Below are 27,128 nucleotides of genomic sequence, written 5' to 3'. Positions count from 1 at the left end.
GTAATTGGTCTTTGTTCCTTTCTACTGTTGAAGAATATTCCATTCTATGCCTATATCACATTTGGTTTATGCATTCACCAATTGATGGACATTTGGGTTGTTTTCACTATTTAGCTATCATGAATAATGACAAAAAAAGGACATATATTTGTTTGGGTTTTTTTATTTTTAAAAGGTTACAATTATTTATTTATTTATTTATTTACTGAGACAAAGTTTCACTCTGTCGCCCAGGCTAGAGTGGAGTTGTGAGATCTTGGCTCACTGCAACCAGTTCAAGCAAATTTTTGTGCCTCAGCCTTCTGAGTAGCTGGGATTACAGTTGTGCACCACCACAGGAGGCTATTTTTTTTAATTTTAGTAGAGACAGGGTTTCGCCGTGTAGGCCAGGCTGGTCTCGAACTCCTAGACTCAAGCCTTCCACTCGCCTCAGCCTCCCAAAGTGCTGGGATTAGAGGCGTGAGCCATCACACCATGCCAAAAGGTTATAATCATTTAAATTCGGGTTGCAACTGTATGCTTACAATTCTCTACATTTAGATTTAAAAACATTTTATTGATGGTCAATCTGGAACATAATTAATGCATCTTAATTAAGTTTCCACTGATGTATATAGAAGGCTAAAGGCTGAAGTTTTATTCACCTCTAGTAGAGTAACCAACCATAAAATCATTAGTTACTTTCAACTTCATAACTAATTGACATTTCCCAAATGAGCTGTCTTTAATCCTGATAGTTCTTTAGTTTTAAAAATATATTTGCCATGGGATGCTGATTTGCAATGGGTGTCATAATGAGAATAACCAAAATTGGGTAAACGTGACAAAATATTGACAAAATGTTTCACACCCTTAAATTACACAACGTCAATAATGAGGAGAAAGCATTGCAAAAGGAGACTACTGCAATGCTACTTATATTCTTGCAATAAAACCAGCAAAGCATCCACATCAAGAGAGTTCTCATCTCACTTCCAACTTTTTCCCCTGAAGAACAATTTGAATCTCTTTGGCACCTAAAGTCTCATAGGTCAATAAAGCTTCTGCTAGATTCTTATGCTCCTCTGCATGACTTTTCAAGATAAGTTTTGCTCATTTTTTTTAAGGTTTGCATCATTCTTCTTTATTTTTGACTTGATTTTCCATTCAACATCACCAACAAGTTTTTAGCGAAATGTAATAATTATATAATTAAACATCTTTCATGGATCACCCTATCCATCTCTACTATATAAATTTAAGATGCTAAATGTTTTAAAAATACTTCTTGATTATGGTTATTAATTGTTCACAAGTCCACTGGTAAATATTACTTATTCCTAGACTGAAACAGAGCTAAACGTCAATACTATATCTAGTTTTCATTTGTATAGATACAGGACTGAGAAAATTTGTTCATCTAAATAAATACTATGGATGGGGTAGGAAGGTGTTTTGTTATAACCATGTCATACAATTATTTGAATTTTGAATAAGTTTTGCTCATTTATATGAGTCCCTTAGAATGGTTCTTATTTCATGTTCAATAGCAGATTGAGTTTCTGGACTTAGTTTCCCTGTGTCACTGTAGGTCATAACTCCAAGCTTTTCGCTAATTCCAAATTTGATAACCATCTGCTTTGCCATTTTAGTGGCATTAGCAAAATCACTGGAAGCACCTGTTGTAATATGGTCAATTCCAAATATAAGCTCCTCTGCCACTCTTGCTCCCATACTAATGTCCATTTGTGCAAGCAGCTGGGCTCTGGTTTCATTCCATCTGTCATCACCAGGTAATGGGGACACAGGTCCAAATGTTGGCCCCTGTGGCATGATTGTAGCTTTGTTGATAGACATTTCATCTTTTGTGTAATATGCAATAATGGCATGACCAGATTCATGATAAGTTGTGATGGATTTGTTTTTGTTATCAATTTCTGTACTTCTTCTGTCAGGCCACATTATAATTTTGTCTTTGGAAAACTTCAGTTCCTTCATGGTAACCACTTCTTTTCCATCAACAGCTACAAAAGGACGTGTATTTGGTGTGATTTTATGCACATGAAATATCCAGAATAGACAAAGCCATAGAAACTGAGAGTAGACTAGTGATTTCTTAAGGCTGAGGGAAGGGAAGAACTAGGACTGACTACTTGGGGGTTCTTTCTGAGGTGATGGAAATGCTGTGGGATGAGGTAGGGATGGTGATTGCACAGCATAGTGAAGACACTAAAATCCATTTATTTGTACACTAAAAAATGGTGCATTTCATATGGTGTGAGTTATGTCACATAACTCAGTAAGTAAATAAATAATTCATATCCCGGCTTCTGCCCAGGGTTTGGGGAGCTGGAAAGAGTTTCACTAGCTGGGTGCGGTGGCTCACACCTGTAATCCCAGCATTTTGGGAGGCTGAGGTGGGTGGATTGCCTGAGGTCAGGAGTTTGAGACGAGCCTGGAAAACATAGTGAAACCCTCTCTCTACTAAAAATACAAAAAAAAAGCTGGGCATGGTGGCACATGCCCGTAATCCCAGCTACTGGGGAGGCTGAGGCAGGAGAATCACTTGAACCCAGGAGGCAGAGGTTGTAGTGAGCCAAGAACACGCCATTGCACTCCAGCCTGGGCAACAAAAGCGAAACTCCATCCCTCCCCCTCCCTCCCCCACTCCAAAAAAAGAGCTTCTCTGCAATCCTAACCATGAGTAAAACTCAGATCAACTCCATAATGTAGATTTCACCTGAGACCATCAGAAATCCGAGCTCTGGGAGCAACTGAGTAACCTGAATTCCAAGGAGGAGTAGGATGCCATGACAGGCTCTACAAAGGCAGAACACATGAGGGTGGGAGACTGCCATACAAGCTGGGAAGGAGGAATCAGATGATATTGTCATGAATTCCTCAAGAGTTAGTGTTTGCTGGCCTCCAAGAGGCAAGGATCTCTGGGAACTTAAGACAGAGAAGCACTTCACACTCACCCATGAGCTCTTTTCCGTGGGTCTCAACTGGGCATTCACAACATAGATTGGAAGTAAGGTGGAGACCCAAAATTTGTGATCAGACATGATTACCTTCCACAGTGTGTGGCCTGAAATCTCACCCCCTGCCCAGATACTTCTCCCATGTGTAGAAAAAGACTGAAGTCATTGAGAGAGGTTCAGAAAAACCAGCCAATCTCAGGCCCCAGGTAAAAACCCATTGTGGATATAAGAAGGTAGATTTAAAAGTCCCTCTATCCCTAGGAGTACTGCAGAAAATTCCTGAAACCATAATCCCAGATATACAAATGTCAGGGAAGGGACAGGAAATTCCTGCCCAAGTCAACCAAAGCTACCAAGTACAATCCAGCTGCCAAGGGGAAGAAGGACACAAACACTGAGCAAGCTCCACCCTCAAGGCCCACTCATATAGAAATTGTCCAAGACTGAGGCTGGGTGAGGACAGGAGAAATTTATACTCCCTACCATGAGCCTATCCCTGAGAAGCAAGCAAGAGCAGTCCACAGCTGGGGGAGGCACCAGGTGGAGTACAGAATTGATGCAGTGGAATCCATCCAGCTGTGGGGTCAGCAGGCCCAATGCAAGCAGGAGGGGCCCGTGAATGGGATAGCCATGGAGCAAGAAAGGAGGACATGCATGAACCCAACACCAGTGACTCCCTCTCACCAAGGACCACGTAGCCACCACTGTAGCTGAAAGTCTCACCTGTGACCAGCAGAGAGGTCTGGATGTGATGCCTGGTAGTAACTTGATGCCATGGAACACATTCCACCCACGAGGGGGCAGCAAACCTTCCTTAGTCTGAAGGATGCTTGTGCTGAAAATGGGTTTGACGGAGCTCCTCGCAGGGGTCTGTGAGCACTCAGAATGTCTGACTTGTTTAAACGAAATAACCCATGACTTATTCTCAGAATGGGAATCCAGATGCCCACAAAATCCGTGGAGGGAATGAGAACATGGCCACGTGATATTCTGGGAATGACCTGAGATATGTACTATGCAGTGGTTTGGTTTTACTGGGACTGAAAGAACATTGAAATGGCCTCTTGAAATTGGATGTATTGAACAGTTTGTGAATGAGACTCTGCAGTTTGGGGGTTCTGTTACAGTAGCTGTAAATAAGCATACAGAAAGCTGTAGATGATATACATACAGATATAGCTATAAAGACAATAAATGGACCAGGTGCGGTGGCTCACGCCTGTAATCCCAGCATTTTGGGAGGCCAGGGCAGGTGGATCACCTGAGTTCAGGAGTTCGAGACCAGCCCGATCAACATGGTGAAACGCCATCTCTATTAAAAATACAAAAATTAGCCAGGCGTGGTGCTGCTCGCCTGTAATCCCAGCTACTTGGGAGGCTGAGGCAGGAGAATCGCCTGAACCCGGGAGGCGGAGGTTGCAGTGAGCCAAGATTGCACCATTGCACTCCAGCCTGGGCAACAAGGGCAAAACTCCGTCAAAAAAATAAAAAATAATAAAAAATAAATAAAACAATAAATCATGGTATGTCTTTTGACAGGTAGAATGCATGGGCTTGGGAGTAAAGTGAGAGTTTAATGAACAGCATCTATCACTAACTTTACAGATGACACACTTGGGAGATGTGCACATCCTGTGACTGCACTTTTAGGTGACCCTGGGTTAGAAGATCTGCCTGGTAAGAAACCACTACCAGGGAACAACACAAAAATTACTCTGTACCTAAAATGATGATGTAGCTGGTTTTCCTTGGGTTTCCTCATTACAGTACATCAGCAGGTAAGGAGAAAGATATCATACTGGCCTGGGTAATTTTCTTTAACGATGAGGAGGAGGATTTGGTGAAGAGAGGGTGGTTGGGCAGCTTAGATAATTCACTGTGGCAGTGATGAATTCTCCATAGCTGGAGGTAACCATGACTGGGGTTGGGGTTTGCACTGTGTCTCCAAAAAGGTATGTTGACATCCTAACCTCCCGTAGCTGTGAATATGAACTTATTTGGAAATAGGATCTTTGCAGGTATAATTAGTTAAGATGTGGTCATGCTGGCTTCGGGCAGGATCTAAATCCAATATTGCTCACATCTTTATAAGACATGAAGAAGACACACAGAGAAGAATAGGATGCCATGTGAAGATGGAGGCAGAGATTAGAATGAGAAGTCTGTAAACCAAGGAATGCCAAGAAATGCCAGCAAGGACCAAAGTCTAAGAAAAAGGCACAAAAGTGGCCGGGCGTGGTGGCTCATGCCTGTAATCCCAGCACTTTGGGAGGCCGAGGCGGGCAGATCATGAGGTCAGGAGATCGAGACCATCCTGGCTAACATGGTGAAACCCCGTCTCTACTAAAAATACAAAAAAATTATCCGGGTGTGGTGGCGGGCACCTGTAGTCCCAGCTACTGGGGAGGCTGAGGCAGGAGAATGGCATGAACCCGGGAGGCGGAGCTTGCAGTGAGCCGAGATCGCGCTACTGCAGTCCAGCCTGGGAGACAGAGCGAGATTCCATCTAAAAAAAAAAAAAAGAAAGAAAGAAAGAAGGAAAAAGCACAGAAGTTTCTTCTTCAGAGCCTCTAGAAAGAAGAAATTATATGAACATTTTGATTTTTTATTTCTGGCCTGCAGAACTCTGAGAGAATAAGTTTATCTTCTTTTTATTCAATACTTTGTGATAATTTGTTATATCAGCCTCCAAGAAACTAACACAATGGGCAACTCCCACAAGAAAGCCTGAAACAGGCACAATAATCAGGTGCTCAGATGCCTCAAGGTTGAAATTTATGTTTATTTCATTGGGCCGATAGTTGAGACAAGTAGAGTTTCTCATGCGAACTCTGGCAGAAGGTAAGCAGAACCTAGAGAGGGTGATAGACAGCAAAGCTGGTAAATATAAAGGATGACCTCGGGGTCAATTACAACAGAGAACACTGTACTTCTCCCCATTCACACCCATATGCTTTGTTTGCCTCATTTGTAGATAAATGTGTCCAGTGTGTTGTTGCTTTGGCAGCACATATACCAAAATCGGAATGATACAGAGAAGATCAGCATGGCAGCTGCACAAGGATATTAACAAATTTCATGAAGCATTTTATATATATATATATTTTTTTAATGTGTCCAGCAAAGACCTGGAAGAAGTTATAGTGTGAAAAGACATGAACATGAAGTTCATGGGGCTATGAGCAGGGCAAAGTGTGGACTGCAACAGACAGGACAGACCCTGGTGATGCCCCATCGATGTTGCCTGGATCATGTCTTTTTTTTTTTTTTTTTTTTTTTTGAGACAGGCAGAGTTTTGCTCTTGTTGCCCAGGCTAGAGTCCAATTTTTGAGATGGAGTCTCACTCCGTCACCAGGCTGGAGTGCAGTGGCGCAATCTCGGCTCACTGCAACCTCCGTCTGCCGGGTTCAACTGATTCTCCTGCCTCAGCCTCCTGAGTAGCTGGGACTACAGGCGTGCACCACCACACTGGGCTAATTTTTGTATAATAGTGTGAGTTAATACTTAATAAACACTCGTATATATATATATATACACACACACATATATATATGGTGTATATACATATATATGTATGTGTATATATACACACATATATATACACACACATATATATACACACATGCATATATATACACACATATATGATTTTATATATATATATGTATACACACACACACACACCAGGCTAATTTTTGTATAATAGTGTGTTAATACTTAATAAACACCCATATAGATATGGTGTATATACATATATATGTATGGTATATATATGTAGGGTATATATATACACACATATACACACACATATATACACACAAACATATATGTACACACATATATATACACACACATATATATACACACATATATGTACACACACATATATTTTTTGATATGTGTACATATATATACACCAGATACGATTATATATATATACACACAAACATATATATACACACATATATATACACAGAAACATATATATACACACATATATACACACAAACATATATATACACACACATATATATACACACACATATATACACACACATATATACATACACATATATACATACACATATATATACACACAAACATATATACACACACATATATATACACACATATATACACACACATATATACATACACATATATATACACACATATATACATATATATTTTTTGATATGTGTATATATACACACATATATATACCCCAGATATGATTTTATATATATACACACATATATATACACACATATATATAAACAAACATATATATACACACACATATATATACACACAAACATATATACACACACATATATACACACACATATACACACACATATATATACACACAAACATATATGCACACACATATATACACACACATATACACACACATATACACACACATATATACACACACATATATACACACACATATACATATATATTTTTGACATGTGTATATATACACACATATATATACACCAGATACGATTTTACACACACACACACACACATATATACGCCATTAGTTGTGTCCCTCTAGAGAACCCTAATACACAGCGTGTCACACTAGCGCAGGCACAGGCCATCACTCTTGTGAACACCCAAGGCACCGTTTCCACTTCAGCTCGGTCCCTGAGGGTCAGGATGCATCTGCCACTGGGAAAGGTGGATCGAGTGGCTCTAGGCAGCTTGGCACGACAGGGTAGTGTAGAGCAACAGCTCAGCCTGGGGATGGCAGGCCACCAGGCAAGGCTGGCTCAGCAGTGACAATCCCTCAGCAGTGAAAGGATGCTGCGGCTACGTGTCCCCCAGAGATCCAGAAGTAGATCCCATTCCACAATGGCATAGTGCCAGAGCCGTGATGGCCGTGGACAGTGGGGCACAGTGTCAGTCTTTTCTCCTGGGTGAGTGCAGCTGTGTGGAATCTGGGTAGCTCCGTCAGCTGTGCTTAGTGTCTGTGAAAGGGAATCTCCAATGGTGAGATCTACAGGTGTCCAAAGTGTTGATGGAAGCTGCTAGGTCTTTTTCTCAGCTTTTTCCAGCAAGGAGAAGTCCCTCTTTATTCCAAGCTGATCCTGACTGAAGGATGGGGTGATAGAGGTGCAGTGCTACTTTCATTTATTACGTGGCCATCCTGTGATTTTTAATGAAATGGCTAAAATGGCAGACATAGAATTCAGAATCTGGATGCCAAACTAAGATCACTGAGGTTCAGAAGAAAGTTGAAACCCAATCCAAGGGATATAAGGAACCCAGTAAAATGACACCAGAGGTGGAAGATGAAATAGACATTTTAAGAAAGAAAGAAACTGATTTTATAGAGCTGAAAAACTCATTACAAAAATTGCATAATATAATAAAAAGTAGTAACGGCAAAATAGACCAAGGTGAGAAGAAAATCTCAGAGCTCAAAGACTGCTTCTATGGCCAGGCGTGGTGACTCACGCCTGTAATCCCAGCACTTCGGGAAGCTGAGGCGGGCGGATCAACTGAGGTCAGGAGTTCGAGACCAACCTGACCAACATGGTGAAACCCCATCTCTACTAAAAATACAAAATTTGCCGGACGTGGTGGTGCATGCCTGTAATCCCAGTTACTAGGGAGGCTGAGGCAGGAGAATTGCTTGAACCCATGAGGTGGAGGTTGCAGTGAGTCAAGATTGTGCCATTGCACTCCAGCCTGGGCAACAAGAGCGAAACTCCATCTCAGAAAACAAAAATAAAAACAAAATTAAAAAAGACTGCTTCTGTGAATCAACGCAGTCAGACAAAAATAAAAAAAATAGAATTTAAAAGAATGAACAAAACCTCTGAGAATTATGGGATTATGGAAAGAGACAAAACCTATGACCCATTGGCATCCCTGAGTAAGAAAGGAAGCAAGCAACTTGAGAAACATATTTGAGAATATTATCAATAAAAATTTCCCCAACCGCACTAGAGAGCCAACATTCACATTTAGGAAACTCAGAACACCCCAGTGAGATACTATACAACAAAACCATCCACAAACAACATACTCATCAACTTCTCCAAGATCAACGTGAAAGAAAATTATTCATGGCAGCTAGAGAGAATAGGCCAGTCATCCAAAAGACGTACCTCATCAGGCTAACAGTGAACCTTTCAGCATAACCCTAAAAGTCAGAAGATATTAAAGATATTAGGGTATATTTTCAGCATTCTTTTTTTTTTTTTTTTGAGACAGAGTCTCGCTCTGTCACCCAGGCTGGAGTCACCCAAGCAGCGACTGTGTGCTTGGGGAAGGGAGAAGGCAGGACTGAACTCAATGCTGCCCTGTCACACTGGAAAGCCACACTGGGCTGATTGCAACTGATGCCCGTTCATGGAGAAAGCATTTGATGAGCTCTACCCAAAGGGGAACTGCCCAGAAAATCAGTTGGAACTTGAGATTCAGCAAGTCCCACCTGAGACCTCAGGCTAAAGTGCTCTGGGTTTGTTTTTTTGTTTTGTTTTGGTTTTAGATGGAGTCTCGCTCTGTCATCCCAGGCTGGAGTGCAGTGGTGCAATCTCGGCTCACTGCAACCCCTGCCTCCCAGATTCAAGCGATTCTACTGCCTCAGCCTCCCAAGTAGCTGGGACTACAGGCACGTGCCACCATGCCCAGTTAATTTTTGTATTTTTAGTAGAGATGGGATTTGGCCATATTGGCCAGGCTGGTCTCAAACTCCTGACCTCATGATCTGCCCGCCTCAGCCTCCCAAAGTGCTGAGATTACAGGTGTGAGTGACTGCGCCTGGTCTGGGGTCTTAAACAAGCTTGAAAGAGTCTAGGCCACAAGTACTGTGATTCCTGGGAAAATCCTAGTGCTGTGCTGAGTTTGGAGCCAGTGAATTTAGAGAAATCAGCAAACGTAGCTAAGGGTGTACTTGTTTCATCCTTCCCACTACCCAAGGCAGCACAACTTGTAGCAACAAAAGTGATTCCTTCCTTCTGATTGAAGAGAGGAGAGGGAAGAATAAAGAGGACTTTGTCTTTTATCTTGGATACCCACTCAGCCACAGTAAGATAGGGCAACAGGCAGAGTCCTGAGGTCCCCATCCCAGATGCTAGCTCCTGGACAACATTTTTCCACATACCCTAGGCCAGAAGGGAAATTGCTGCCTTGTGGGGAAGGATTTAGTCCTGGCAGAATTCATCACTTGCTAACTGAAGAGCTCTCAGGCCCTGAATAACCAGCAGCAATATACAGGTACTATGTCGTGGGCCTTAGGTGAGACTCTGAGACTTGCTGGCTTCAAGTGAGACTCAGCACCTTCCCAGCCATGTTGACTGTGGGGTGAGAAAAGTGGAAGAAAAAGTAAAAGGGACTTTGTATTGCACCTTAGGTACCAGCTCAACAACAGGGGATAGAGTGCCAAGTAGGCTCTCAGGTCCTCAATTCAAGGACTTTGCTCTTAGAGATCATTTCTGGACCTGCCCTGGGCCTGGGCAGAGCCCAGTGTCATGACGGATGAATAGCAGGCCAGGAAGCCTTCACCACAAGCTGACTGAAGATCCCTTAGGGCTTAAGAGAACACTGGCAGTTCTCCCTGTAAGCCTGTTGTGGCAGTGGTCATGGCATGAGGCTCCTTTGCCTTAAGAAAGGGGAGGGATGAGTAGGAAGGACAGTATCTTGTGGCTTGAGTGCCAGGTCAGCTGCAGTGCAATAGAACGCCGGGTGGACTTCAAGGATTTTATTTATTTATTTATTTATTATTATTATTATTATTATTTTGAGATGGAGTTTCACTCTTGTCACCCAGGCTGGAGTGCAATGGCTTGATCTCGTCTCACCACAACCTCCGCCTCCCGGGTTCAAGCAATTCTCCTGCCTCAGCCTCCTAAGTAGCTGGGATTACAGGCATGCACCACCACGCCCAGCTAATTTTTTTGTATTTTTAGTAGAAACGGGGTTTCTCCATGTTGGTCAGGCTGGTCTCAAACTCCCGACCTCAGGTGATCCGCCCGCCTCAGCCTCCCAAAGTGCTGGGATTACAGGCGTGAGGCACCACGCACGGCGGCGGAATCTGTTAAACACAAAAACGGGAGAGGTGGCCCCATGCTGATCATGGACTTCAGTCAGTGGGCAGAGATATCCCAGCTCCTGTCCACAAGCACGAGCAAGGGTGAACCACAGCTTTTCTTTTCCTTTTTTTTTTTTCTTTTTTTGAGACGGAGTCTCACTCTGTCCCCCAGGCTAGAGTGCAGTGGCGCGATCTCAGCTCACTGCAAGCTCTGCCTCCCAGGTTCACACCATTTTCCTGCCTCAGCCTCCCAAGTAGCCGGGACTACAGGCGCCCGCCACCACGCCCGCTTAATTTTTTCTATTTTTTTTTTTTTAAGTAGAGACGGGTTTTCACCGTGTTAGCCAGGATGGTCTCGATCTCCTGACCTCGTGATCTGCCCATCTCAGCCTCCCAAAGTGCTGGGATTATAGGCGTGAGCCACCGCGCCGGGCCGGGCCACAGCTTTTCATCTTCATCTGGAGCCCCTACCCCCTCCCTTTCCATGAGGACCTGGGGTTCCTCTTCTGTCCCACACAGAAGTGGAAATTTCCTCCCTAATGACCCTGGGACAGTCTTAGACACAAGCAGGCTGTCAGCTTTCAAGTTTGTTCTTTGATGTGCAACCTTCTCAAATTAAAGAACTTTTCATTTCTTTTTCTGCACAAAACTTTCATAATCTACATATTTCGGATGTATAATCTACATATTTCAGATGTGTGTATGTGTGTGTGTGTGTATATATATATATATATATATATATATATATGTATGTTTTGAGACAGGGTCGTGCTCTCTCACCCAGGCTGGAGTGCAGTGCTATGATCATACCTCACTACAGCCTGGACCACCCAGGCTCAAGCAATCTTCCCACCTCAGTGTCCCAAATAGTTGGGACTGCAGTCGTGCACAAACATACCTGATTATTTCTTCTTTGTTATATGCAGAGACGGGGTCTCACTATGTTCCCCAAGCTGGTCTTGAACTTCTGAGCTCAAGGGATCCTCCATCCTCAGCCTCCCTAGGTGCTCAGATTACAGGGGTGGGCCACCGTGCCGGGAACTTCAAACATAAGGAGCATTTCTTGGTATTTGGAGCAGATGTGGGCTCTTGAGTTGGGGCATCAATCATCCTCCTCTACTACGGAGCTCAATGCCAGGATCCTCTCACACCCCAACCACTCCTGTCTTAATCTGGTCTGGAAATTCACCATGGCCAAGCCCCCTCCCATGTCCCAGGCACCACTGAGCCCCACATCCACTCTGAGAAGCTGAGGTCATGACCACAAGTTCCAAAAGAGAAAGGCTCAAGCAAGCCACTTTGCTGTCCAAGGTCACATAATCGGTGGAATTAGGAAGAAAATTCAGCTCCCCACTCCACCCCATGAATCAGATGACAAACCTGAGTAATTGTTCTGAAAACCTTGAACATGGTTGGAGGCACAGAGGGACGGCCAAGGACAAAGGGGCACTGAGGAGGCAGGAACGACTTAGAGGTTCATTCCCAGCGGAGGGGTTTTGTTGCTCTGCCCTAGCCCTTGGTGAGCTGAGTATAGGTCAGGCCGACAGCGGCTAGGGCTCAGGGAGACCCCATTTCTGTCTGAAATGTCTGCAGAGAGCCTGGAGCTCACCCCAGCCCCATCCCTGGGGAAATGAGAGCCAGGCTCTTGGGGAGGGCAGTTCCCCTTCCTGTGGGGCTTCCGATGGGACAGTCTTGTGACAGGGAGAACCCAGCCTCCAGTCCACACTCTGCGTGTTTTTGTGTCCTGCCAGGCACCGTGGTCTCATCCGCCTGCACAGCTGAGTCCAGTGGGAGCTGACGCCATGACCCTCACCCTCTCAGTCCTGATTTGCCTCGGTGAGGTTTGAAGAGGGGGAAGGAAGGTCCCCGTCTTGGAGGGAGCTCACTCTAAAGCGAGGCTCTGGTCTATCAGAGAATCTGGTCTATCAGAGGCTCCGAGGGAGGAGAGGAACTGCTGGGGCTTCCAGGGGCAAATCCCTCACAGGGAACTCTCTTCCAGGGCTGAGTGTGGGCCCCAGGACCTGCGTGCAGGCAGGTGAGTCTGTCCCCAGCTGTCCCAGGTCCCTTCTTCTCACTGGGGACAAGGGCCCAACCCCGGGCAGCTGGGGGTGGAGATAGCTGTTCTGGGCTGACTGATGGGGACGTCTGGAGGGTCCTGGGGCTGAGAGCTGGAATCTGAGGGATGGGGATGTCTTGGGATCCAGCCTCTGATTCCATTCTAGGCACCCTCCCCAAACCCACCCTCTGGGCTGAGCCAGCCTCTGTGATAGCTCGGGGGAAGCCCGTGACCCTCTGGTGTCAGGGGCCCCTGGAGACTGAGGAGTACCGTCTGGATAAGGAGGGACTCCCATGGGCCCGGAAGAGACAGAACCCACTGGAGCCTGGAGCCAAGGCCAAGTTCCACATTCCATCCACGGTGTATGACAGTGCAGGGCGATACCGCTGCTACTATGAGACCCCTGCAGGCTGGTCAGAGCCCAGTGACCCCCTGGAGCTGGTGGCGACAGGTGAGAGGACACTCAGGGGTCCCAGCCCCAGGCTCTGCCCTCAGGAAGAGGGTCGGCTCTTAGGGACGTCTACCTCTCACAGCCCAGCCCTGGGGATGATGTGGGAGGTCGGAGCCCCACTTAAGACGTGCCTCCTTCTCTGCTAGGATTCTATGCAGAACCCACTCTTTTAGCCCTGCCGAGTCCTGTGGTGGCCTCAGGAGGAAATGTGACCCTCCAGTGTGATACACTGGACGGACTTCTCACGTTTGTTCTTGTTGAGGAAGAACAGAAGCTCCCCAGGACCCTGTACTCACAGAAGCTCCCCAAAGGGCCATCCCAGGCCCTGTTCCCTGTGGGTCCCGTGACCCCCAGCTGCAGGTGGAGGTTCAGATGCTATTACTATTACAGGAAAAACCCTCAGGTGTGGTCGAACCCCAGTGACCTCCTGGAGATTCTGGTCCCAGGTGAAAAAGCCACCACACTTCTTTATATAATTTTGGGGAACCAGATAGGTTGTTGGGAGTTTGGTTGATGACTGATCATGGCAAGGACCCCAGAAGGATGTGTTGATGGATGGGCTGAAGGCGTGAGGAAGACCCCACGGGGAGGCTCAGATGGGGAAACAGGAGCCTGAGTCACCCTCACCTGGAAGGGGTCGACTCAGGAAGGCAATGGGTGTATTTGCTGCAATTTCCTGTCCCTCAATGAGGAGAGGACAGACCAGACAGACAGTGGCCAGGAGTCAGAGAGACACTATCGGTCTGGAACTACTCCAAGACAGACCCAGGTGAGAAGGAGGCCCCGGGATCCGAGACACAGAGCGTGAGAGACAGTGAGACCTGCAGGGCCAGGACGCCAGGACGGGAGAAGGAAGGGGCGGGGGAGGAACCAGCCTTCCAAGTCCCAATTCCTCTTTCCCTCCAGGCGTGTCTAGGAAGCCCTCCCTCCTGATCCCGCAGGGCTCTGTCGTGGCCCGCGGAGGCAGCCTGACCCTGCAGTGTCGCTCTGATGTCGGCTATGACATATTCGTTCTGTACAAGGAGGGGGAACATGACCTCGTCCAGGGCTCTGGCCAGCAGCCCCAGGCTGGGCTCTCCCAGGCCAACTTCACCCTGGGCCCTGTGAGCCGCTCCCACGGGGGCCAGTACAGATGCTACGGTGCACACAACCTCTCCCCTAGGTGGTCGGCCCCCAGCGACCCCCTGGACATCCTGATCGCAGGTGAGGAGCCCAGCGGGTTCAGTCAGGGACCCAGGCTCTGCACAGGTCCTGCCGGGGGAATCCAATTAGTGATGGCCGGGATGAGGCGGGGGGGTGGTCCCAAGGGAGGGAGAGACAGACAGAGACAGGGGATGGGTGGGGAGGGGAAGACTCAGAGAAAACAGAGACAGAGGCTCCTAGAGAGGCCTGGGGAGGTCTCAGCTCAGAGCAAGGTGGGGCAGCCCCTCACCCATCCTTCTTCTCTCCAGGACTGATCCCTGACATACCCGCCCTCTCGGTGCAGCCGGGCCCCAAGGTGGCCTCAGGAGAGAACGTGACCCTGCTGTGTCAGTCATGGCATCAGATAGACACTTTCTTTTTGACCAAGGAGGGGGCAGCCCATCCCCCGCTGTGTCTAAAGTCAAAGTACCAGTCTTATAGACACCAGGCTGAATTCTCCATGAGTCCTGTGACCTCAGCCCAGGGTGGAACCTACCGATGCTACAGCGCAATCAGGTCCTACCCCTACCTGCTGTCCAGCCCTAGTTACCCCCAGGAGCTCGTGGTCTCAGGTGAGGGCCCTGACCCTGTCCTGTCCAAGCTCAAAGGCTCAGCTCAGGCCCTGCCCCCAGGAGAGCTCTGGGCTGGGATGGAGTCGCGGTGCGGGGGGGAGGGTTTGAGGGGGGCTCAGCCAGAGGGAGACTCACCCCTCAGAGGGGAGGAGGACAACGGGGGCTCCCCAGGCATGCCCACACTTGGCCCCATCTCCTGGGATGCAAATGGTGAAAGGTGAGCAGAAGAAAGTTTCCAGAGAAGCCACGGGCAGGTGGAGGGACGGGTTTCCTCACTCAGCACCAAAGCGCCTCGCTCCCTTTCTGTGCTTATTCCCAGGACCCTCTGGGGATCCCAGCCTCTCACCTACAGGCTCCACCCCCACACCTGGTGAGTCACTGAGGCCTCTGGGCTCGGAGGGAGCGTGGTCTCCCCCCAGGCAGCCCTGAGTCTCCCCGAGGATCCTATTCCCCTCAAAGACTCAAGCGGGAGCTTCCCTCCAGGGAGCTGGGCAGAGCCAGAGGAGGGGCCACAGGCTCCCCGGGGCTCTGAGGCTGGGCCGGTGAGGGGGCGGGCGTCGAGGCAGAGAGAGATGTTGGGTGTTGGGGCCCAGCCTGGGGGAGGAGCAGCCGGGCTGATGTGGGGAGCAGGGCAGCCCCAGCCCTCACCTCCCCGTCCTGACCCAGCAGGCCCTGAGGACCAGCCCCTCACCCCCACGGGGTTGGATCCCCAGAGTGGTGAGTGAGGGGCTCTGAGTGGGAGGTGGGCGGAGACCAGGGGAGGCAGGGGTGGGTTCTGTCGTAGGTTCAGGCTCCTCTGGAGATGGTGAAGTGCACAAGCCCTTCCCCTGCCTGGGCCTCAGTTTCTCCAAGTGTAAAGGAGAGAGGCCTGCATTGATGGGATTCTTCAGGGGACTGTCCTGTCCCACCGGCAGCAGTGACGGTGACCTGGGGCAGGGGAGGGGAGCAGGGCCGTGGTTTGGGGCATTCAGGCTCTTTCCCTGCAGCTCCGGGGCTCCGCTCAGGTGCAGAGAACAAGGGCTGCGGGTCAGACTCCTGGGTTCACTTCCCAGCTCTGCCGCATCCCACCGTGGGCCCAGGCAGGTCAACTTTCTACTCTGACTCAGTTTCAGCAGCTGTAAACTGGCTCAGTCCCATCCAGCTCACAGAACTGCTGCGAGGCGTAAGCAAAATCATGGGACCTGGCCCTGTACACAGCTCGGCAGGGGCACCGTCCTCCTGCTACCCTCAGCCCTTCCCAGATACACACAGAGCCCCTATCCAGACAGGTTCTGCATGGGAGTATGGGAACTTGGCAGAGTGGGAAACGGACCTGGCTGAGCTGGGAGTGAGAGCAATGCAGGGTCCGTCCTGCACAACCCACTCCCTCTCCCAGGCCCTGCTGTGCTGGGGAAGGGAGGATCCTAAGAAGGACACCAGCCCCAGATGGAGACACTAGGACAGGCCCCTCCTGTCAAATAGGAAACAGGTGTGCACCTGGTGGGGCAGCAGGAGGACAGCTGGGGAAAACACAAAGTCCCTGGTTCCCTTCCCAGACCTGCTTCTTCCAGGCTGAGGAGCCTGGGGCAGGCGATTCCCCTCTCTGAGCCTCAGTTTGCTCCTCTGTGAATTGGGGGGTTGGCAATCCCATGTTGCACAACTGCTGTGAGGGTTGGAGCTCATGAAGGAAAGACCTAGCTCGCGCCTGCACACAGAAGGTGCTCACATCAATGACGTCATCCCCATTCCCAACGTCATCACGCTCAAGGTCTGGGAAGGCACCTGGGGGTTGTGACTGGGGTCTCAGTGGCCTTCGTCCTGCTGCTGTTCCTCCTCCTCTTCCTCCTCCTCCGACATCGGCATCAGAGCAAACACAGGACATCGGGTGAGTAGGGAATGGGGGAACCCGTGGGCCGACCGAGGGTGGGCTCGGGGCACCAGCCAGAGGGAAACCAAACACAAAGGAAAGTCAGCTTAGAAAAACTGCTCCAGAAATTCCCAGGTGAAAAATCGATCGAGAAAGAAGAGAATAAATGTGAGCATGTGTGGAAGTGCTTGATTCTTCTGATTTTACTTTAAACTTACGACGTATTTAAAGCCTCAGTGCCAGTGGGCCTCCAGGTTTCCTTCTTTCCGCTCGAGTTGTGTGTGCAGGGCAGCTGGTTCGAATTCTCCCAGGCCTGACCCTCTGTCCATCTCTGTCCAGCCCATTTCTACCGTCCTGCAGGGGCTGCGGGGCCAGAGCCCAAGGACCAGGGCCTGCAGAAGAGGTAATTCTGCATGAAGACCCAAGACTCCCATCCACCCGCACAGCCCCCTCACTGCCCCTCACACTCCCGTGTCCTCCCCCAGGGCCAGCCCAGTTGCTGACATCCAGGAGGAAATTCTCAGTGAGTGACTAGAAGCGGAGGGCACCTGGGGTGGGCAAGGGAGCACCAAAGTTTCTGTAGCAATGGGGGCAGGAGCACAGGCTGGGGGGGGTCTGGGGCCAAGGGGGAGGCGGTCTGAACCCACACTGTGGGACCTCAGGGACATCACAGTCCCTCCCTGGATCTCAGCCACCCTAGTGGGAACAGGGCAAGGGCTGGCAGGACGGAGAAGTCTCAGAGAACCTTCCCAGGAGATGAACCCCTTGCTCTGGCCCAGCAGATGCTGCCGTGAAGGACACACAGCCCAAGGACGGGGTGGAGATGGATGCTCCGGTGAGGCCCCGCCCCTGTCCCGGGCACCAAAGGCCTCCTGGTGCCAGATCTAATCCAGCAGGACTTCTCTGTCCTCCTTCCCCCGGCTCTCAGCATCGTCACGGTGGACCCCTCCTTGTCCAGCACGCTGCCTCCCGCCTGCTGCGACCTCACTCTCTTCTGCTGTCCTGGGACCTCGTGGGCCTCCTCCCGGGTCCCCTTCCTGCTCCTCATCCTCTGTTTGGCCGTCTGGTTGTTAGAGCTCTCCCCAGGCCTCAGGAGGATGAGGAATAAATGAACCGACCCGGTCCCCCAGGCTCCCCTTCATTCATTCAACCAGCGAGTGTTCCCAGGGAGCTCACTGTGGATGGGGCTCCCCATGGGAGCTGCAGACACAGCAGGGAGCAAAGCCGCCCCCGCCTCCTGAGCTCACCTCATGGTGGGAGACAAAATGCAAATAAATGCATCGTGTCCAGGAGTGCAACGTGCTGTAAGGAACATAAACCAGGGAAAGGGCAGAGAGTGTGGGGCAGTGGGGCCAGTCTGAATGGAAGGGGAGGGCTGTCTGCTCAGCTGTCATCTGAGAAGCCTGGACAGAGTGGGGCACACGATCCTCTGATGGACGAGCCCCTGCAGGCAGAGGAAACAGCCGTGCAAAGGCCCCGAGGCAGCAGCGAGCTCTTGCGGGAAGGCCCGTGAGGCTGCAGCCAAATGGGCAAGGTCAGAGTGAGGAGCAGAGGCCAGAACCACAGGGAGGGAGCGGCCAGACCCTCCACGGCCTTAGGGCGTCCCTGAGATTCCATCAGGAAAGGGATGTAATCGGATCACCCCGGGAACAGTGAGGAAAATTGACTCCAGGAGGTCAGGGGGACTCAAGGACACCCCCCACCACTGTCTCTCTCCAGCAGAGCCCACACGATGAAGACCCCCAGGCAGTGACGTATGCCCCGGTGAAACACTCCAGACCTAGGAGAGAAATGGCCTCTCCTCCTTCCCCACTGTCTGGGGAATTCCTGGACACAAAGGACAGACAGGCAGAAGAGGACAGACAGATGGACACTGAGAGAGTCCTTTCCTCTCCAGGCCCCCAGGCCTCCCCCACCCCCACCACGTTCCTTCCCTCTCACTCTCCCCCGCTGCAGGCTGCTGCATCTGAAGCCCCCCAGGATGTGACCTACGCCCAGCTGCACAGCTTGACCCTCAGACGGGAGGCAACTGAGCCTCCTCCATCCCAGGAAAGGGAACCTCCAGCTGAACCCAGCATCTACGCCCCCCTGGCCATCCACTAGCCCACGGGGGACCCAGATCTCATACTCAACAGAAGGAGACTCAGAGACTCCAGAAGGCACAGGAGCTGCCCCCAGTGGACACCAATGAACCCCAGCCAGCCTGGACCCCTAACAAAGACCACCAGGACATCCTGGGAACTCTGGGACTCACTAGATTCTGCAGTCAAAGATGACTAATATCCTTGCATTTTTGAAATGAAGCCACAGACTTCTCAATAAATCAATGAGCTGAGAAAACTGAAACAGAAATTAGAGCATGGTATAAATTTGGAATGATAATGTAAATATTACACATTAAATGATGAAATCGGAAAACTACAAATGAGCGAATGAATTAGAAAAGAATAAAACCTACGTAATTAATGACCTTGGCAATGACAGAAAGAATTTAGAAAAAGAACAACAAATTATTCCAAATGAAGGTGTGAGGAAGGGGACAAAAATAACAAGAGGAGTTACTAATGAGGGCTACGTGAAAACTCGATGAAGCCAAAAAAGCTCATTCTTGAGAATGTGAATTACATTCACAAATCCTAGCCACAATAAGCAAGGAAAAAAGCGGGGTTCAGGCACACATTTCCATATGGGGGTGAAACAGCAGACACCACCACAAATCTGACACATATTGCCTTTATTTTTTTCACTTTTAAGTTCAGGGATACATGTGCAGGTTTGTTAGACAGATAAACTTGTGTCAAGGGGATTTGTCTTGGTTTTTGTGTGAGGGTTTTTGTTTTGTTTTGTTTTGTTTTTTGAGACGGAGTCTCGCTCTATCACCAGGCTGGAGTACAGTGGAGTGATCTCGGCTCACTGCAACCTCTGCCTCCCGGGTTCAAGCGATTCTCCTGCCTCAGTCTCCCGAGTAACTGGGACTACAGGCACCTGCCACCACGCCCGGCTAATTTTTGTATTTTTAGTAGAGACAGGGTTTCTCCATGTTGGTCAGGCTGGTCTCAAACTCCCGACCTCAGGTGATCCGCCCGCCTCAGCCTCCCAAAGTGCTGGGCTTACAGGCGTGAGCCACCACGTCCAGCCCATACATTTCAATTTTAAAGGGATGCGCCCTAGTCCTTAGTTAGTCTCTCCTCATCTCTATAAAATGTTCAGCTACTCACCTCTTGGGCTATTGCTAGACATCGTTTTCTCTTCCTTCTTTCTGACGCCTACAATAGATAGGACATTCCCCCTCCTCATTCTATTCTCCCAAGTACTTTAAATTGCAATTTATAAAGTTTCTATGCTACACTCTAAAAAAAATTCTGTTTTGTTTTCTAATTTCATAATTGGTGCTTCACTGTGTCTTGTCCTCGAAGGAATGAGTATTTTGATTGTGTTCATTAAATCTGATTTTTCTATGTCTTCTAATTATTTTATATAATATTCATTCTGCTGTAGAAAAAAAAATCATATAATCCTGCCTCAGAAATTCAATGTCCTCTGTATTTCTCAAATATTTAAACATGTTTAACCTAAGATGGGTCTCACACATTCCTAGTACTCCTTTTGACCATGATAATCCTCATTAGTGAGTGTGGATTGTCAACCATAGCACTTTGTGTTTGATTTTTTGGTTTGTTTTTTGTTTTTATTTATTTATTTATTTATTTTTTGAGACGGAGTCTCACTCTGTCACCCAGGCTAGAGTGCAGTGGCGTGATCTCAGCTCACTGCAACCTCTGTCTCCTGAGTTCAAGCAACTCTCCTACCTTAGCCTCCCGAGTAGCTGGGACTACAGGTGCCCGCCACCACAACCAGCTAATCTTTTTTTTTTTTTTTTTTTGTATTTTTAGTAGAGATGGGGTTTCACCGTGTGGCCAGGATGGTCTCGATCTCTTGACCTCATGATCTGCCTGCCTCGGCCTCCCAAAGTGCTGGGATTACAGGCGTGAGCCACCACGCCCAGCCTGTGTTTGTTTTTGAGACAGGTTCTTGCTCTGTCACCCAGGCTAAAGTGCAGTGGCGCACCACCCCAGTTCACTGCAACCTCCGCCTGCCAGACTCAAGCGATCTTCGACCTCAGGCTCCTAAGTAGCTGGAACTACAGGTGTGCACCACCACACCCAGTTCATTTTTGTCTTTTTAGTAGAGATGGGGTTTCACCATGTTGCCCAGGCTGGTCTCGAACTCCTGGGCTCCAGCGATCTGCCCACCTCGGCCTCCCAGAGCGCTGGGAAAATAGGCGTGAGCCATCGCAGGCAGCCAGTCATAGCACTTTTTATCATTAGGATGATTCCTCTTTCTTCTCATTCTTGGACACTCATCTCCCAGTGCCTCATCTGCCAGAGAGGGTTTCTACCAGGGCTGCACTGGGCGTTAGGCTTGAAAAGAGGAGGACGGCACCACCTGCCCGGGTCTTGTGAGTCTGCTCAGGCCTGTAACCAGCAGGGGAGGGTCCAGTGTGAACCTCATGTCTGACAACTCTACAATGAATCTATTTCACACACACAGAGGGGGAGGCTCAGGGCTGACCATAAACCTGAGTCAATGAGCAGAGATACCCCAGTGCCATCCACAAACACAGGGGACGAGGAGCCACAACTTCCCACTTTCACCCAAAACCCCAACCCCTCCCTGACTGTGAGGGCCCTGGGGTTCTCCTCTGTCTCATATAGAGGCGGAAACCTCCCTTTTAGTGATTCCCTGACATTGCAAGTCACCAGAAGCCAACTCAGCTCTGACCTCGCTGCTTCCTGAGGTTTCCTGCCTGTGTCAGGAAGTTTCATTTCTCATTTCCTTCTATGGCTGCGTATTTCAGAAACATGTATTAGTCAGGGTTCTCTAGAGGGGCAGAACTAACAGGATAGATGTATATATAAAGGGGAGTTTATTAAGGAGTATTGATCCACACGATCACAAGGTGAGGTCCCACAATAGACTGTCTGTAAGCTGAGGAGCAAGGAAGCTAGTCCGAGTACCAAAACCTCAGAAGCCGAGAAGCCGACAGTGCAGCCCTTCAGTCTGTGGTCAAAGGCTCTGCATGGGAAGGTCAGGGATTGGCAGAGTAGGAGATGGACCTGGCTGGGCTGGGGGTGAGAGCAATGCAGGGTCCGTCCTGTACAGCCCACTCCCTCCCCCAGGCCCTGCTGTGCTGGGGAAGGGAGGGTTGTAAGGAGGACACAGCCCCAGATGGAGACACTAAGACAGGCCCCTGCTGTCAGATGAGAAGACCCAGAGCAGGAAGCAGGTGTCCACCTGGTGGGGCAGCAGGAGGACAGCTGGGGAAAACACAAGGTCCCAGGTTCCCCTCCCAGACCTGCTTCTTCCAGGCTGGGGGGCCTGGGGCAGGCGATTCCCCCCTCTGAGCCTCAGTTTGTGCATCTGTGAAATGGGTTGGGGGGTTGGCAATCCCACGTTGCACGACTGCTGTGAGGGTTAGAGCTCATGAAGACCCAGCACGCGCCTGCACACAGTAGGTGCTCACATCAGCGATGTCATCCTCATTCCCGACGTCATCACGCGCAAGGTCTGGGAAGATACCTGGGGGTTGTAACCGGGGTCTCAGTGGCCTTTGTCCTGCCGCTCGTCCTCCTCCTCCAATGTCGGCGTCAGAGCAAACACAGGACATTGGGTGAGCAGGGACTGGGGGAACCTGTGGGCCCACCGAGGGTGGGATCAGGGCACCAACCAAAGGGGAACCAAACACACAAGAAAGTCAGCTTAGAAAAACAGCTCCAGAAAGTCCCAGCTGAAAAATCTAGAAAGAAGAGAATAAATATGAGTGTATGTGCAAGTAATTTATTCTTTGAGCTTTTTATTTTATTTTATTTGAGACGTGATCTGGCTCTGTCACCCAGGCTGGAGTGCAGTGGTGTGATCTCGGCTCGCTGCAACCTCCACCTCCCAAGATCCTCAATGATCCTCCTACCTCAGCCTCCTGAGTAGCTGGGACTACAGGCCCCTATCACCACGCCAGGCTAATTATTTTTTTGCGGGGGAGAGATGGGGGGTCTCACTATGTTGCCGAGGCTGGTCTCAAACTCCTGAGTTCAAGCAATCCACCCGCCTCAGCCTTCCAAAGTGCTGGGATTATAGGCATGAGCCATTCGGCCCAACGTCTTCGGGCCTTTTTAAGTGTATCCAGTATTTAAAACAACTATGCCTGTAATCGCAGTACTTTGGAAGGCTGAGGCAGGTGGATGGCTTGAGCCCAGGAGTTTCAGAGGACTCTGGGCAATGTGGTGAGACCCCATCTCTACAAAAAAAATTAAAAATGCAAATAAGCCAGGTTTGGTGGTGTGCACCCGTGGTCCCAGCTACTCAAGACGCTGAGGCAGGAGGATCACTTGACCCTATGAGGTCAAGGCTGCAGTGAGCTGGGATCGCACCACTGTGCTCCAGCCTGGGCGACAGAGCGAGACCTTGTCTCAAAAAAAAAAAAAAATATATATATATATATATATATATATGGGTGTGTTTTCAAGTTTCATTTTTTCCCCTAAAGTCGCATGTACTGGGTGGGTGGTTCTAAGGTTCCCAGGGCTGAGACTTTGTCCTTCTTCACCTAGCCCAGAGAGAGGCTGATTTCCAACACCCTGCAGGGGCCGTGGGACCAGAGCCCAAGAACAGGGGTCTGCTGAGGAGGTAATTCTGCCCAAAGACCCCAGACTCCCACACTCCACCACACCACACTCTCGTGTCCTCCCCCAGGTCCAGCCCAGCTGCTGACATCCAAGAAGAAAACCTCAGTGAGTAAGAGGAAGAGGGGGTGCACCTGGGGTGCAGATGGGGACCCTGCAGTTTCACTAGTAACAGGAAGGGGCTGGGAAGGGTCTGGGGCTCAGGGGAACATGGTTCACTTCATACTGTGGAACCTCAGGGACATCACACCCGCTCCCTAGATCTCAGCAGTCCCACTGGGAGCAGGACAGGGGGAGGTGGTACTGAGAGGTCCCAGGGAAACTTACCAGGAGACGAACCCCTTGCTTTGCCCCAGCAGACCCTGCTGCGAATTTTTTTTTTTTTTTTTTTTTGAGATGGAGTCTCGCTCTGTCACCCAGGCTGGAGTGCAGTGGCGCGATCTCGGCTCACTGCAAGCTCCGCCTCCCGGGTTCATGCCATTCTCCTGCCTCAGCCTCCCGAGCAGCTGGGACTACAGGTGCCCGCCACCACGCCCGGCTAATTTTTTGTATTTTTAGTAGAGACGGTTTTCACCGTGTTAGCCAGGCTGGTCTCGATCTCCTGACCTCGTGATCCGCCCGCCTTGACTCCCAAAGTGCTGGGATTACAGGCGTGAGCCACCATGTCCCGCCTGAAAGTGAGACTTTTAACAGGGTCTTGCAAAATTGGATGTCTGCTAGGTAGGCATAGCCGGGGCAGTCACAGCAGGTAATTTATCTCTTGGCACTCAACTATCCCTTCCCCAGTTCCTCACTGGTCGAGTACTATGAGGTTACAATCTTCCCAGACTTCGCCTGAGTTTCATTATCCCCCTTATAAGGTTGTACCCCGTCCCCTTCCCCGCTTAAGTTGCGATTTCCCAATAACAAAATTTTTTTCCCTTTTATGGGCTGACCGCCTCCTCCCCCACAACCCCCCGCCATTCTGTTCACTTATTGTGATTTGCTAGGAGCATGAGCCGTGCGGTTTGTTACATCCGCAGACTGGCTGCCAATACTTGGATATCATGCCTTGAAAATGGACCCTTTAAAATGTGTTCTCACAAATTCCCTCCTCTTTTTTATTTACTTCCTTTGGTCTCATTTTCATTTGAACCCTTCTGGTGCTTGAATCGCTTTAGAAGTTGTTTACTTTCTTTTTTTCTTTTTCTTTTTCTTTTTTTTTTGAGACAGAGTCTTGCTGTGTGGCCCAGGCTGGAGTGCAGTGGTGCCATCTCAGCTCACTGCAATGTCCGCCTCCTGGGTTCCAGAGATTCTCCTGCCTCAGCCTCCCGAGTAGCTGGGATTACAGGCGTGCACCACCATACCCAGCTAATTGTTTTTGTATTTTTAGGAGAGATAGGGTTTCACCATATTGGCCACGCTGGTCTCAAACTCCTGACCTCAGGTCATCCGCCCACCTCGGCCTCCCAAAGTGCTGGGATTACAGGCATGAGCTACCACGCCCGGTCAAATTTTTCACTTTATGGCTACATAGTAGGTGTATATATTTATTAAATTACTTTTCGATGGTATTAATTCAATTTACTATTTTTCACCTTCACGACGTCTGTCTAATGCATTTCAACAACTGTCTGTGTTTTCCTCACGTATCTTGGTTGTCATTCCTGTGGGACAGCTCCTCCCACGCACCTGGCCTTTCATAAAGGGTTTCTCCCACGGCTGTCCAGGCATCAGCCTGATGAAGGGGATTGTTGCCGCTGCTCCTGCCCCACTCCCCCAAACTCAGTGTCAGCTCAAGATTGTGCCCAGCAGGGATGGGACCAACGCCAGCCTCACACTCACCTGTGGGGCAGACGCCCATGTCTGACCACCGTGGATCGAATCTGTTTCTCACACACAGGGGAGGGGCTGAGCGCTGACCGTGGCCTCCAGTGAGTGAGCAGAGACCCCCCAGCGCCTGTCCACACACACAGGGGAGGGGGAGCCACCGCTTCCAGCCTCACCCAGAGCCCTGACCCCTCCCTGCCTGGGAGGACGTGGGGTTCCTCTTCTGTCCCACATGGAGGTGGGAGCCTCCTCCTCCCTAATGACGCTCGGTGGTCCCAGACACCTGTGGCCACTCAGCATTGAACTCTGCTCATGGAAGGGGATGCGTCTCAATGTGAGGAACTGTTCTTCCTCTTTCTCGGCCTGTGGCTGTGATGATCTGCATATTTCAGACGTATCACAAGAATTTCATGGTATTTGGAGCCAATGTGGGCTCTTGAATGGGGGCGTCAATCATCCTCCTCAACTGTGGAGCCCAGCACCAGGATCCTCTCCCGTCCCCACCCTCCTGTCTGAACTGGTCTGGAAATTCACCATGGCTGAGCCTCCCATGTCCTGGGCACCACTGACCCCCACAGCCACTGTGATGAGTGGGGTTCACGACAGCAGGCTCAGAGGTGACATTCATGTCCAAAGTCTCATAAACCCTAGATGATAATCAGGAATTAAATACAAATCAGCTCACCTTCCCCAGAATCAGATTATAGATTACAATGAAACATATATATATATATATATATATTTCTCTTTATCCCCTCTATTTCTCCTTTTCAGACAGGATCCTGCGCTGTCGCCCAGGCTGGAAGGCCAAGGGGTGATCATATCTCCCTGCAGCCTCCGCCTCCCGGGCCCAGGTGGTCCTCCCACCTCAGCCTCCTGAGTAGCTGGGACCACAGGCATGAGCCTCCATGCCCAGCTCACTTTTTTCTTTTCTGTAGAAACAGGGTCACAGTCTGTTTCCCAGGACTGTCTGAAGCTCCTGGCCTCAAGCCATCACCCGCCACAGCCTCCTGAAGTGCTGGGATTCCAGGCATGAGCCACCACGGTAGACGCTGCATTTCTCCTCTGTGCTCACTGCTACACGCAGCTCAGCCTGGACTACACAGCCAGGTGTCAGGTGCGTCTCTGCTGATCTGAGTCTGCCTGCAGCATGGACCTGGGTCTTCCCTGAAGCATCTCCAGGGCTGGAGAGACGACTGCCATGGTAAGGACCCCGTAACGCTGAGCTGATGGACGGGCTGAAGGAGGGAGGGAGACCCCATGGGGAGGCTCTGAGAGGGAGGATGAGCCCACAGTCACCCTCGCCTCAAAGGGGCTGACTCCAGAAGGCACTGGTTCTATTTGCTGCTGTGTCCTAGCTCTCAGTGAGATAAAGATAAATCAGGCAGACAGTGGCCCGGGGGCAGGGAGACCCCATTTCTCTCTGAAATGCCTGCAGAGAGCCTGGTGCCTGCCCCCACTTCAGCCCTGGGGAAATCAGAGCCAGGTTCCTGGGGTGGCAGTTCCTCTTCCTGTGGGC

General features: G+C 49.6%; 1 protein-coding gene, 1 long non-coding RNA gene and 2 pseudogenes across 5 annotated transcripts, besides 3 other annotated features; 3 read left to right on the top strand and 1 right to left on the bottom strand.

The window, feature by feature from the left end:
• Positions 1–767: 767 nt before the first annotated feature.
• Positions 768–2,005, bottom strand: LOC100420187 (YME1 like 1 ATPase pseudogene; annotated as a pseudogene).
• Positions 3,600–3,894: a silencer, noted in NCBI's record as "tiled region #15373; HepG2 Repressive DNase unmatched - State 12:CtcfO, and K562 Repressive DNase unmatched - State 12:CtcfO". NCBI's record gives its function as "represses a minimal TATA promoter and a strong SV40 promoter by Sharpr-MPRA in HepG2 and K562 cells {active_cell/tissue: HepG2 | K562}" and the evidence as "EXISTENCE:reporter gene assay evidence [ECO:0000049][PMID:27701403]".
• RNU6-1307P (RNA, U6 small nuclear 1307, pseudogene) lies at positions 5,956–6,058 on the top strand (annotated as a pseudogene).
• Positions 12,736–20,588, top strand: LILRB5 (leukocyte immunoglobulin like receptor B5). 4 transcript variants are annotated; one of them, NM_006840.5, is made up of 13 exons: positions 12,736–12,849; positions 13,013–13,048; positions 13,236–13,520; positions 13,667–13,966; positions 14,427–14,723; positions 14,972–15,274; positions 15,594–15,644; positions 15,944–15,991; positions 17,022–17,138; positions 17,460–17,523; positions 17,606–17,643; positions 17,903–17,955; positions 19,077–20,588. In NM_006840.5, the coding sequence occupies exons 1-13, from the start codon at positions 12,816–12,818 to the stop codon at positions 19,221–19,223; spliced, it is 1,773 nt and encodes a 590-aa protein (NP_006831.2). In that variant the 5' UTR covers positions 12,736–12,815; the 3' UTR covers positions 19,224–20,588. The 4 variants fall into 4 exon arrangements, with proteins under 4 accessions (NP_006831.2, NP_001074911.2, NP_001291386.2 ...); NM_001081442.3 differs by having other exon boundaries at positions 15,941–15,991; NM_001304457.3 differs by having other exon boundaries at positions 13,694–13,966; positions 15,941–15,991; positions 18,840–19,541.
• Positions 17,898–18,515: an enhancer, noted in NCBI's record as "H3K4me1 hESC enhancer chr19:54755357-54755974 (GRCh37/hg19 assembly coordinates)". NCBI's record gives its function as "activates a minimal SCP1, AML or CMV promoter by ChIP-STARR-seq in naive H9 embryonic stem cells {active_cell/tissue: H9 hESC(naive)}" and the evidence as "EXISTENCE:reporter gene assay evidence [ECO:0000049][PMID:30033119]".
• Positions 20,589–22,062: 1,474 nt separating the features above from the next.
• On the top strand, positions 22,063–26,616 carry LOC107987463 (uncharacterized). The gene is made up of 3 exons (XR_007067341.1): positions 22,063–22,791; positions 23,729–23,908; positions 26,548–26,616. It is a non-coding gene; the product is annotated as an uncharacterized LOC107987463 (long non-coding RNA).
• Positions 25,646–26,144: an enhancer, noted in NCBI's record as "H3K4me1 hESC enhancer chr19:54747703-54748204 (GRCh37/hg19 assembly coordinates)". NCBI's record gives its function as "activates a minimal SCP1, AML or CMV promoter by ChIP-STARR-seq in naive H9 embryonic stem cells {active_cell/tissue: H9 hESC(naive)}" and the evidence as "EXISTENCE:reporter gene assay evidence [ECO:0000049][PMID:30033119]".
• Positions 26,617–27,128: the final 512 nt, after the last annotated feature.

Source organism: Homo sapiens, chromosome 19 (genome assembly GCF_000001405.40).
Source record: "Homo sapiens chromosome 19, GRCh38.p14 Primary Assembly".
NCBI lineage: Eukaryota > Metazoa > Chordata > Mammalia > Primates > Hominidae > Homo > Homo sapiens.
The sequence above is the reverse complement of the archived record's forward strand: the minus strand, read 5'-3'. Positions and strand labels throughout refer to the sequence as shown.

Bases quoted from the DNA above. Each gene is read 5' to 3' on its own strand.
- LILRB5 (NM_001304457.3), top strand. From the start codon at position 12,816: ATGACCCTCACCCTCTCAGTCCTGATTTGCCTCG. The intron at 13,521-13,693 runs GTGAGAGGACAC...CCACTCTTTTAG, and splicing joins CCTGGAGCTGGTGGCGACAG to CCCTGCCGAGTCCTGTGGTG. The intron at 14,724-14,971 runs GTGAGGAGCCCA...TCTTCTCTCCAG, and splicing joins CCTGGACATCCTGATCGCAG to GACTGATCCCTGACATACCC.